Here is a 12,633-nt window from a genome sequence, read left to right as displayed (position 1 = left end):
ATCTTAAGATGTAAGACTTGTGAATGATAGTAAAGATTTAGTAGACCCAATGTATTCTCAGATAAATGTAAAATAAGCAAGATATGAATTAAAGGATAAATATAGAGTTTAACAGCATAGATCTTAAAATCCATTATCATAAGGTAGAAGGATGTATAATTTATCATGATTAAAATATACTAAATATTCATATCACAGCATTCTGATTTCTGATATCTACAATTTAGGTGACATATATACATATGTGTGTATGTATATATAACTGTATTATTTGATATTTTAAAAGATAAAAGAGTTATATATTCAAATACCAGTATAGATGTTGCTCTGAAAGTATTGTTAGATGAGATTAACATGAAAATCAGTAATTTCTGAGAAAAGCAGATTATTTTCCAAAATATTGTAGGGCTCATCCAGTCAATTGATTATATTAAAAGACTGAGATCCCTCAAGGAAATAATTCTGCCTGCAGATTGCCTTTCGACTTGAGACTGTAACATCAACTTTTCTCTAGGTCTCTTGCTTGCTAGCCTACCCTGCCAATTTTTTATACATTAAAAAATATTTTTCTCAAATATTGTAGTTCTGCTATTTCCAGAAACGCTTGAGGATTGTACTTCCAAGTTCTTTTAAAGTTGATCATCGTCATGAAACTCATCATCAAATGGCATTTGAGCAAAATCTTTATTAATTAAACATGAGTGGAAGTTTAAAGGCCAAAGCACAACTCACTCAGGCATTGTGAACTATGTGTGCAGACAGATCACAACTCATCCTTGGTCTCTGGGTGTGTCTGCGTCTATTACTGACTTACCCTGGATATGTAAAATGAATAAGAAAAACTTTTTGTGTTAGCCACTGGGATTTTTGGTTTGTGTATTACTTTAGCATATTATCTCATTTTGAATGCTATAGTTTAGGACACTAGTTTAAACTACTGAAGTTAAAATGTTCTCCTTATTTCAGAGGAGAGAAGGATCTTACAGTGACAGACATCCATTAGTAAGAATTAATTTCTAGAGATAAAGTGAATTCAGTAACCACAGTGTCAGTAGAGTCAGCATGGTCAAAATAGTCTACATGGGAAATGTTTGGTGGCTCTTAGTTGATCATGGAGTCTCTAGAACCAAAAGTTATGAATGCCAATTAAGTTTCGATTTGGCTTATATGATCTCAAATCTTCAGGTTTACAAAACATATCTTGAGCCACCACCCAGCTCTGTCACCCAGGCTGGAGTGCAGTGGCACCATCTCAGCTCATTGCAGCCTCCGCCTCCGAGGTTTAAGCGATTCTCATGCCTCAGCCTCCTGAGTAACTGGGACTACAGGTGCTCACCACCATACAGGGATGTTTTTTCTATTTTTTTGGAGAGACACGGTTTCACCATGTTGGCCAGGCTGCTCTCGAACTCCTTACCTCATGATCCGCCCACCTCGGCCTCCCAAAGTGCTGGGATTACAGGCGTGAGCCACGGCGCCCAGCCCATTTTTTCTTTTCACCCACCTCGGCCTCCCAAAGTGCTGGGATTACAGGCGTGAGCCACTGCACTGAGCCTACAGCTCATTTCTTAACACATAAAGCTTTGCACCTCTCCACAAAACTGCCATCAGGGATGTCCCCAGAAACCATTCATCCCAGGTGCCACGCAGAGAAGAGTTGCTTGTTCTCCTTTTCCCTTTACCTCTTCCCTCTCACCTCATCATGTTCATTCATTCATCCCTTTTCCATTCTCACTTTTAAGCTTTAACCTTTCAAAAGCCTATCTTCCCCTATAAGTAATGTATTGTAACTCCCGCCATCACCATATCCTTCTCCAACCAACCAAACTGCCATCCTGAGTTTATGGAAAGTCCATAAACTAAGAAGAAATGGGAAACATTCATTGCTAACTTGGCAGCCCCTCATCCACCCTACGTGAGAGCACAGATCTTATTGTCTTTGAAGACCCTTTCTTTTTTTTTTTTTTTTTTTTTTTTTTTGAGAAGCAGTCTCACTGTCGCCCAGGCTGGAGTGCAGTGGCACAATCTCGGCTCACTGCAAGCTCCAACTCCTGGGTTCATGCCATTCTCCTGCCTCAGCCTCCCGAGCAGCTGGGACTACAGGCACCCGCCACCACGCCCGGCTGATTTTTTTTGTATTTTCAGTAGAGACAGGGTTTCACTGTTAGCCAGGATGGTCTCGATCTCCTGACCTCGTGATCTGCCTGCCTCGGCCTCCCAAAGTGCTGGGATTACAGGCATGAGCCACCGTGCCCAGCTCCTTTTTTTTTTTTAAAGACAGGTCTCACTCTGCTGCCCAGGCTCAAGTGCAGTGGTGTAATCATGGCTTACTGCAGCCTCCAACTCCTGTGCTCAGGCTATCCGCCTGCCTCAGCCTCCCAAGCAGCTAGGACTACAGGCACACACCACCACACCTAGCTAATCTGTTTAGTTTTTGTAGAGATGGGGGTCCTGCTATGCTGAACAGGCTGGTCTCGAACTCCTGGCCTCAAGCAATCCTCCCACCTTGGCCTCCCAAAGTGCTGGGATGACAGGCATGAGCCACCATGCCTGGTCTGAAGACTTTTAAATGCTGCCATATTCAAGACGCGTTGAAACTCACCTGTATTCGATGAGCCTGCTTTTCGCAAATGAGTAACATAAAACAGACTGAAATACCTTAAGCTTCTCAGCCTTTTACCCTCCTCTGGAATAATGAGTGTATCCCAAAAGTAAATCCATAATGAGGTCCAGTTTTTCCTTCATCCTTGGCTATGAAATAGACAAGAAAAAGGCAAGCTAGCCATTTCCATCTCACTATAGCAGACTCTCATGTTTGCTTTTTGACCGTACGTGGGAAGCGGGGGCCTGACTGCTTTCCTACTTCCTAAGCACAACTTACTTTTCCTAGGAAATTCTCAACACAACCTACATGGATTAAACCAGGTTCCCCCCTTTGTTTCCAATATTCTTACAGCCAAAATGTCCAGAATGGGCAAGGCAACCTGAAAAAATGAGGACGGGTACATTATCCCATGCGCTAAACTGCCACTTACACTGGTTAGTCATGAAATCGGCAAAATTCCAGATGAGCTCTCCAACCACGTATTTTCTGCGTTTTTGATCCAGACCCAGATGGTACTGCTCTAGCAGACTTTTCCGGTCCTCTTCACTGAACATCAGAGGTGGATCCTGGGATTCAAGGCAAAGAGAATTAAGAGTAAGAACTGGCAGAATTGTAAATGTTAGATAAAAATAAAGATCCACTTGATGGTGACCAAAATATCTGTCCTCACTGGGGGCTGTAGGGACTGCAGGACTCACTGATGCTAGGGTAAAGACAGCCAGGGAGAAATTGGAAATCATCATTCTCAGTAAACTATCGCAAGAACAAAAAAACAAACACCGCATATTCTCACTCATAGGTGGGAATTGAACGATGAGATCACATAGACACAGGAAGGGGAACATCACACTCTGGGGACTGTTGTGGGGTGGGGGGAGGGGGGAGGGATAGCATTGGGAGATATACCTAATGCTAGATGACGAGTTAGTGGGTGCAGCACACCAGCATGGCACATGTATACGTATGTAACTAACCTGCACAATGTGCACATGTACGCTAAAACTTAAAGTATAATAATAATAATAAAAAAATACAAAAAAAGAAACGACAGCCAGGGAATGATGTAACCCAGAATTAAAAAGGAGGTTTAAAAAAAAACCATCAATTAGCAACTGCTTTATTTATAAATATAACCTGATACTCAATTTTTCTTACTTTTCCGTCTCTGTCTGCTGATACAGTCTTAAGGCTGAACTACACTAGAAGGAAAAATATGTCTTTAGGTCAGGCGCGCTGGCTCATGTCTGTCATCCAAGCACTTTGGGAGACCGAGGTGGGAGGACTGCTTGAGCCTAGGAGTTCAAGACTAGCCTACAAAAAGTACAAAAGTTAGCCAAGCATGGAGGCACACACCTGTGGTCCCAGCTACTTGGGAGGCTGAGGTGGGAGGACTGCTTCAGTCCCGGAGGTCAAAGCTGTGGTTTGCACCACTACACTCCAGCCTGGGTGACAGAACAAGACCCTATCTCATGAATGAATGAATGAATGTAAAATGAAATTAAACTAAACCAGGCTGGGCATGGTAGCTCAGGTCTGTAATCCCAGCACTTTGGGAGGTCGAGGCAGGAGGATCACTTGAGCTCAGGAGTTCAAGATCAGCCTAGGCAACACAGTAAAACCCAGTCTCTATAAAAAGGCTAAATATTCGCTAGGTGTAGTGGCGCATGACTGTGGCTCCAGCTACTTGGGGGGCCGAGGAGGAAGGATCACTTGAGCCCAGGAGGTTGAGCAGTGAGCTGTGATTACGCCACTGCACTCCAGCCTGGGCAACAGAGTAAGGCTGTCTCAAAAAAAAATTTTTTTTAATTAAACCAAATAAATTCAGTTATCCTAGTCATATATCAAGACCTCAATAGCCACATGTAGCTAGTGGCTACCATTTCAGACAGTGCAGACATGGGGCATTTCCATCATTGCAAAGGTTCTTTTTTGAAACAAGGTCTCACTCTGTCACCCAGGTGGGAGTACAGTGGTGCAATTATGGCGGACTGCAGCCTTGACCTACTGGGCTCAAACAGTCCTCCTACCTCAGCCTCCCAAGTAGCTGGGACTAGAGGCAAGCACGACCATACCCAACTATTTTTTTTTTTTTTTTTTGAGACGGACTCTTGCTCTGTCGCCCAGGCTGGAGTGCAGTGGCACAATCTCGGCTCACTGCAACCTCCACCTCCCCAGTTCAAGCGATTCTCCTGCTTTAGCCTCCTGAGTAGCTGGGATTACAGGTGCATGCCACCACACCCAGCTAATTTCTGTGTTTTCTTAGTAGAGACGGGGTTTCACCATCTTGGTCAGGCTGGACTTGAACTCTTGGCCTCGTGATCCACCCACCTCAGCCTCCCAAAGTGCTGGGATTACAGGCGTCAGCCACTGCACCCAGCCACAACTCATCTTAAATATTTTGTAGAGATGGGGTCCATGTTGTGCAGACTGGTCTCAAACTCCTGGGCTCAAGAGATCCTCTGACCTCGGTCTCCCAAAGGGCTAGCATTCCAGGTGTGAGCCAGCACACCCAGCACTGCAGAGGTTCTATCAATGCTCACCTAGACCCTCTCGAGTTTCTTAAGAATTCAGAACTGGGGCTGGGTATGGTGGCTCATGCCTGTAATTCCAGCACTTTGGGAGGCCAAGGCAGGTGGATCGCTTGAGGTCAAAAGTTCAAGACCAGCCTGACCAACGTGGTGAAACCTCATCTCTACTAAAAAAAAAAAAAAAAAAAAAAAAAATTAGGTGAGCATGGTGGTGCATGCCTGTAATCCAAGCTACTTGGGAGGCTGGTGCAGGAGAATTGCTTGAACCTGGGAGGCGGAGGTAGCAGTGAGTCAAGATTGCACCACTACACTCCAGCCTGGGCGACAAGTGAAACTCCTCCTAAAAGGAGAAAGAATTCAGAGCTGGTTACCTTTTCAAAGAGAATGAACAAGGGTGCATATCCACAAATCACTTCCCCCTACTTGACTAGTTTGCAGAAGTGTCATTCTGTAAGCACGATAAATTTAAGGGTGCAAACAGAACAGTGCAGTCCATTGTGGGTGGCTGTTCCCTGTGTGTCAACGGGAGTCCCAGGAGCTGTGCAAAAGAGTGTGAGCTGGCTGGGGAGGGGACAAGGGGCTGGATGGGGTTCAGGAATCCACATGAAAAAAACCCCACAAGACAAAGCAACATATCTTTGGTGAGAAGGACAAAAAATGAGATGGATAAACAAATGAGGACAGGCCAGGCATGGTGGCTCAGGCCTGTAATCCCAGGATTTTGGGACGCGGAAGCAGGCAAATCACTTGACGTCAGGAGCTCAAGACCAGCCTGGCCAACATGGCAAAACCCCACCTCTACAAAAATACAAAAATTAGCTGGGCATGGTGGCAGGTGCCTGTAATCCCAGCTGCTTGGGAGGTTGAGGCAGGACAATCGCTTGAGCCTAGGAAGTGGAGGTTGCAGTGAGCTGAGATCACACCATTGCACTTCAGCCTGGGTGACAGAGTGAGACTCCATCTCAAAAAAAAAAAAAGACAAAGTGAGTGATTAAACATGGCTCTAAGATCTCACCCATGCCCTCAATAGGTATTATTTAGCATGTACTGTGTCAGCTATTGCAGAGTACCTGGGAAACAACAATAAATAGGACTCCTGTCTCCTGAGCCCACAGTCCGATCAAAGAGAGAGCCAAAGAAATAACAACGGTGCCTGGCGAGAATGTTGGGGGAGCCAGGTTCCGGCTGCAACAGGGCAGAGCACGGGGAAGGTTCCCTCCGCCTGGGGCAGGCAGGGTAAACCTCCCCACAGAGGGGACAGCTATGAGGAGACTCAGATGCCAAATAGGAATCTTTTCAGCCACGTGTCGTGACTCATGCCTGTATTCCCAGTACTTTGGGAGTCCAAGACAGGAGGTGAAGACCAGCCTGATAGCGAGACTCATCTCTACAAAATATTTTAAAACTAGGCTGCACATGGTGGTGCACGCCTGTAGTCCCAGCTACTCAGGAGGCTGAGGCAGGAGAATTGCTTCAGCCCAGGAGTTCGAGGCTGCAGTGAGCTATGATGACACCACCACACTCCAGCCTGGGCAACAGAACAAGACCCTGTCAGGAAAAAAATAAAAAATAAAAAAAGGCTAGCACAGTGGATCACACCTGTTAATCCCAGAACTTTGGGAGGCCAAGGCAAAAAGATCAATTGAGTCCAGGAGTTTGAGACCAGCCTGGGCAACATAGCAAGACCCTATCTCTAAAAAAATAAAAAGAAAAGGATCTTTTAGTTGGTGATTATGGTGCCAACTTGGGCATTCCAGGCAGAAAGAATAGCTCAAGCAAGAGCAGGAGAGCAAATGAGGGCAGTGGAAACAGATCAGTGGCCAGGAGTGAGAAGAGAAGAGGATGAAAACCCAGGAGAGAGCAGAGGACACTGAGTGTCCTGACTAGGGGTTAGGACTTTGTCCTATGGGCCTGGGGGAGCCAATGACAGGACTCAAAAATTTTGATTTGTGGCCGGGCACAGTGGCTCACACCTGTAAATCCCAGCGCTTTGTGAGCCTGAGGCAGGAGGGTCACTTGATCCCAGGAATTCAAGACCAGCCCGGGGAACACAACAACGCCCCATCTCTACAAAAGTAAAAACATTAGCCAGGCATGGTGGCCTGTGCCTATGGTCCCAGATACTCAGGAGGCTGAGGTGGGAAGATCGCTTGGGCCCAGGAGGTTAAGGCTGCAGGGAGCAGTGATCGCACCACCGCACTCCAGCTTGGGTGACAGAGAGAGAGGCGGTCTCAAAAACACATAAAAATTTGGATTTCTTAGAAAGACCACTTGGGCACGGGTGATAGGAGGCTGTCTGGAAACAAGGCCAGTAAGGAGTCCACCTTTGAGGACCAAGCGAGTGGGGCAGAGGCCTGGCTGCTGGTGAGAAGGGAACGTGGACAGGGTAGCGGGAGGTGAGCCCAAAGCTGAAGCAAGGGGAGCACTGCAGTGGGCGCAGGGCAGGGTGGGGGAGGCAAGTGGCATCTCTGCCCAGAGAGAATACACAAGCAGAAAGTTCAACACCGCTTACCTGGTGAAGCCTTACAAGCGTTTCCACTCCATACGCGCTCTGAATAATGGGATTGTGATGTCTTACACCAATTCTCAAACTGGGCGGCCAGCTGCAGCTGAATCAACTCCAGGTGCCCGTAGTTGCGATACCAAGAGTAGTAGCTGTTCACACGGATCACATCCACATACAGAGCCTAGGACCAGAGCAGCAGAGCCCGTTCAGCAACCACAAGACCGCATGACTCAGTACTCACATGCTGTGGGGGCTCCTCTGACAGAGAAGGTAAGAAGGGGATGTAATCCCAGCACTCTGGGAGGCTGAGGCAGGAGGGTGGCTTGTGGCCAGGAGTTCGAGACCAGCCTGGGCAACACAGCAAGACCCCAGCTCTACAAAAAATAGTATCAAGAAAATCAGCACGGCACAGTGGCTCATGCCTGTAATCCCAGCACATTGGGAGGCCAAGGTGGGAGGATCACTTGAGCCCAGGAGTTTGAGACCAGCCTGGGCAACATCGTAGGACTCCATTTCTACAAAACAAAACAAAAAGCCTACAACGGGAAGAGCTGCCTCTCGGGGCTGAGAACATCCAACTGCACCAATTTAGATCCTGAAATTACCCTGCCCCACAAGCAAAAAACATGGTCACAAAGTGGCCCAAAGGAGGCAGGCCTGTGATTGCACACTGACGCTCACGACGTGTGCAGCTGGGAAGGGCTGTGAGAGGCAGAGCAGCTGCCAACACGCAGTCCTCAGCCAAAACCCAGGGCCCCTGCCACTGGAACTGACTCCTCTCCAGGCAGCACTCCCAGCACTGGGCATCCCCTCACCTTGCCCTGGAGAAGCCCTCCCACCCAAGGGGCCAATGCAGTCATTCTCGCAGATAATCTTTTTCCGCTTTGTTTGGAAGACAAGAGTCTCGCTCTGTTGCCCAGGCTAGAATGGAGTGGCACAATAATGCAACCTCTGCCTCCCACGATCAAGCGCAGGCGTGGTGGCATGTGCCTGTTATCCCAGCTACTTGGGAGGCTGAGGCAGGAGAATTGCTTGAACCTGGGAGGCGGAGGTTGCACTGAGCTGAGACTGTGCCACTGCACTCCAGCCTGGGCAACAGAGCAAGACTCTATCTTAAAAAAAAAAAAAAAAAAAAAAAAGAATGCTAGTATCAGCCAAGCACGGTGGCTCATGCCTGTAATCCCAGCACTTTAGGAGGCTAAGGCAGGAGGATCACTTGAGCTCAAGAGTTTGAGACTGGCCTGGGCAACATAGTGAGATCCCATCTCTACAAAAACATTTAAAATTAGCCGGGCACAGTGGTGTACACCCGGAGTCCCAGCTACTTGGAAGGCTGAGGCAAGAGGGTTGCTTAGGCCCAGGAATTCAAGGCTGCAGTGAGCTGTGATCACACCACTGCACTCCAGCCAGAGCAACAGAGTAAGACCTTGCCTTCACACACACACACAAAAAAACAAAAAACTCAGGTTCCAACCCTGGAGTTACTAAATCAGGATCTCAGAACGCAGAGATCTGGCATTTCAATAAAACTTCCCCTGGAGATTCTGATCAGCCAGGTTTGGGCCAGATGAACTCTAAGCTCACTTAAACCTTTGACATTTTATGAGTCTATTAAATCGAGTACAAAAAATGCTGAGTCCAAACCGGGCAAACAAATCCCATCTCCCTATGCCCAGCCTCCTTGGATTCAGAAAGCCACACTGCCTGGAGAGTAAGCAGAGAGAGAATTGTCATTAACCCAAAGACCATCTTTGAAAACAGACTGGCTGCGGCTGAGTGCGGTGGCACACGCCTGTAACCCCAGCCCTTTGGAAGGCCGAGGCAGGAGGATCACTTGAGCCCAGGAGTTCGAGACCAGCCTGGGCAACATGGCAAGACCCTGTCTCTATCTTTCTAAGTAAAACAAAATAAAAAGCTCAGACTGGCAGCACATGGTTCTTTCCAGCTGTTCCCATGAGCAGGCTTCAGGACAAGCCCAGGCAAAGGCAGGGAGAAATGGGGTGGGGACCCCCAGGCTCACCCCCTTGTCTGCTGCGTAGGTGGAGTTGGTCACAAAGGTCACAGGCTGGGAGGGGTCCAAGGCTTTGGTGTGAGCAATCACCATCCTGTCCACAAAAGAGAGAAGACACAGGTTCCGTCAGTCCGGGAAAGGCTCAGACACCCTCCCATCCTCTCTGTCCCATCTTCCCCTGCCAGAACACAACTGGGGGCCAGGCACGATGGCTCACGCCTGTAATCCCAGCACTTCAGGAGGCTGAGGCAGGCAGATCACTGAGGTCAGGGGTTCAAGAACAGCCTGGCCAACATGGCAAAACCCCATTTCTACTAAATATACAAAAATTAGCCAGGCATAGTGGCACGCATCTGTAACTCCAGCTACTCGGGAGGCTGAGGCACAAGAATTGCTTGAACCCGGGAGGTGGAGGTTGCAGTGAGCCGAAATCACGCTACTGCACTCCAGCCTGGGCCACAGAGCAAGACCCTGCCCCAAAACAAACAAACAAACAAACAAACAAAAAAAAAAAAAGAAAGAAAAAAAAGGAAAAAAAAAAAAAAAACAAAGCACAGAGCCGCTGCTTTCTTCCCTAACTTGAGATGTATTTTACATAAGGGCACGTTCCTCTAGTCCTAGACCGAGCTCTCTAACAACACTCTTTCTCCCCCACCCCTGAATCCAACTCCCCCAGAGGCGTAGCCACCCTGCCGGGTACACAGAGCTGAGGTCACTGGACTGAACACTGCCAGAAATGAGGTTCACTTCCTGAAATAGCTCTTGAACACAGGAGTGAATGGGCTGTGGATTCAGGTGGAATATTTATTAATGCATCAAGCAAACAGGTAGTGCGAGGTGGGAGGTAGGCATGAGGCTGGGTGCTAGGTGCTCAGTAATGACTCAAATCTAAGTCCACAGGTCCTGGGCAGTGGGAGTGGAGATGCATGCACAGAAAAACGGTGCAAGTGCCAGGCGAGGTGGCTCACGCCTAGAACCCCAGCACTTTGGGAGGCTTACTTGAGACCAGGCGCTTGAGACCAGCCTGGACAACATAGCAAGACCTTGTTTCTACAACAAATTTAAAAATTAGGGCCGGGCATGGTGGCTCAAGCCTGTGAGCACTTTGGGAGGCCAAGGCAGGTGGATCACGAGCTCAAGAGTTCGAGACCAGCCTGGCCAACATGGTGAAACCCCATCTCAACAAAAAATAAAGAAGAAAACTAGCTGGGCATGGTGGCGTGAGCCTGTAATCCCAGCTACTCGGGAGGGTGAGGCAGGAGAACTGTTTGTACCCAGGAGGTAGAGGATGCAGTGAGCCAAGATCGCAACACTGCTCTCCAGCCTGGGAGACAGAGCAAGACTCTGACTCGTGGGGAAAAAAAAAATATTAAAATTTAGCCTGGCAAGGCAGCGCACGTCTGTGGTCCCAGCTATTTGGGAGGCTGAGTGGGGAGGATCGCTTAAGCCCAGGAGGTCGAGATGGCAACGAGCTATGATTGCACCACTGCACTCCAGCCTGGGCAACAGAGTGAGACCCTGACTCTGAAAAACAAACAATGAAAGAAATGTTGCGAATGGAAATGACAAGTGGTGGCAGGAATTGGGCACTCTATGAGACAACAGACACATCCCCGATTGGAGAGTCAGGGACAGGCTCTTAGAAGAAATGGCCTTTATGCTGAGTCAAGTTAACCAGGAGGGATGAAGGGAAGAGGCTCCCAACAGAGGGACCAGTCCGTGCTCAGAGCTCCCAGCATCTGCCCAAGGCCTCCACAGAACAGACTGTTGTGTTTTTGTTTTGTTTTGTTTTGTTGAGATACAGAGTCTCATTCTGTAGCCCAGGCTGGAATGCAGTGGCATTATCTCAGCTCATTGCAATCTCTGCCTCCTGGTTCACCTGAGGCGATTCTCCTGCCTCAGCCTACCTGGTAGCTGGCATTACAGACGTCCACCACCATGCCCAGCTAATTTTTGTATTTTTAGTAGAGACAGGATTCACTACCTGTTGACCAGGCTGGTCTCGAACTCCTGACCTCGGGTGATCCACCCACCTCAGCCTCCCAAACTGCTGGGATTACAGGCGTGACCCACCGCATCCGGCCTAGACCGTTGTTGAAGCTGGTTTTCTTCTTCTTTCCTCAGTTCTTTTCTTTTACATCTTCCCCCCATCATTGCTCTGCCCATCCGAAGGCTGTGGCTGGCACAGGACAGAATAGAACCTCCTAGCCTCAAGTTCCAAACCCACACTCTCCAATAGCCAGGCTCTCAGATGGGAAGCTTCAAAGCCTTGTGACAGCCTGGCTGAACCTCTCCAGCCTGGGCCCTCCCTCCATTTCCTGCCCCGGAAACAGGCATCTCCTCTGGCCACCTCCCAAAGCCTGTCTGGAAGCCTCAGGCACCCGCTCCTGGAAGCCTGTACGATTCACAACAAACGGCCTGTCCACCCAGTCGTGCTGAGCACACCCCTATTCCCCCGAGCTCTGAATTGTCCTTTGCCCAGGCTAGGACAACATCTCAGAGCCTTCTGCCTGCTGCAGACTCGGCTCAGCCCAAATCACTCCATGAAATTGGGGTGTGGCATCTGCCTCAAGGAGCATTTCTACAACCTCTGCTGCCTCTACCGCAAATGAAACTGGCTCTCACCCACTGGCTCTCGGTGACGGGCACAGTGCGGAGCCCCACAGGGAGTGTGTAGAAGTCAAAGGCCCCAGTGACTTCTGTGCAGTCAGCCGCACCTACGACAGCCAAAGCGCCAGGTGTGAGCGCCCCGACAGCCTGAGCCCCATCTGGCCTGCCCTACAGCAGGAAGACCCCTCGTGCATGCACCCCAGAAGTCGCCACTGGGCCTGCAGAGAAGCAGCAACCAGAGGCTCTGCCCTTCACTGGCTGACCCTGGGACCTGCCCTTCAAAATCAGGCCTTCTCCTTGACCAGACGAGGTGGCTCATGCCTGGAATCCCTACACCTTGGGAGGCTAAGGCAGGAGGATCACCTGAGTCCAG

General features: G+C 48.8%; 1 pseudogene across 1 annotated transcript in view, besides 2 other annotated features; it reads right to left on the bottom strand.

Annotated features, from left to right (window-relative positions):
* GUSBP16 (GUSB pseudogene 16) overlaps positions 1-12,633 on the bottom strand; it is a 153,001-nt pseudogene that overhangs the window by 73,838 nt on the left and 66,530 nt on the right. Inside the window, exons 5-8 of the transcript NR_146391.1 lie at positions 9,660-9,744; positions 7,646-7,820; positions 3,036-3,171; positions 2,659-2,751 (exon numbers count right to left, since the gene is read on the bottom strand). The product of NR_146391.1 is annotated as a GUSB pseudogene 16 (transcript). The remainder of the gene's footprint in view (positions 1-2,658; positions 2,752-3,035; positions 3,172-7,645; positions 7,821-9,659; positions 9,745-12,633) is intronic.
* Positions 9,182-9,682: an enhancer, noted in NCBI's record as "H3K27ac hESC enhancer chr5:70085097-70085597 (GRCh37/hg19 assembly coordinates)". NCBI's record gives its function as "activates a minimal SCP1, AML or CMV promoter by ChIP-STARR-seq in naive H9 embryonic stem cells {active_cell/tissue: H9 hESC(naive)}" and the evidence as "EXISTENCE:reporter gene assay evidence [ECO:0000049][PMID:30033119]".
* Positions 9,683-10,183: an enhancer, noted in NCBI's record as "H3K27ac hESC enhancer chr5:70084596-70085096 (GRCh37/hg19 assembly coordinates)". NCBI's record gives its function as "activates a minimal SCP1, AML or CMV promoter by ChIP-STARR-seq in naive H9 embryonic stem cells {active_cell/tissue: H9 hESC(naive)}" and the evidence as "EXISTENCE:reporter gene assay evidence [ECO:0000049][PMID:30033119]".

The sequence above is a fragment of the Homo sapiens genome, chromosome 5 (genome assembly GCF_000001405.40).
Source record: "Homo sapiens chromosome 5, GRCh38.p14 Primary Assembly".
NCBI lineage: Eukaryota > Metazoa > Chordata > Mammalia > Primates > Hominidae > Homo > Homo sapiens.
This window is presented reverse-complemented; position numbering and strand designations above follow the sequence as displayed.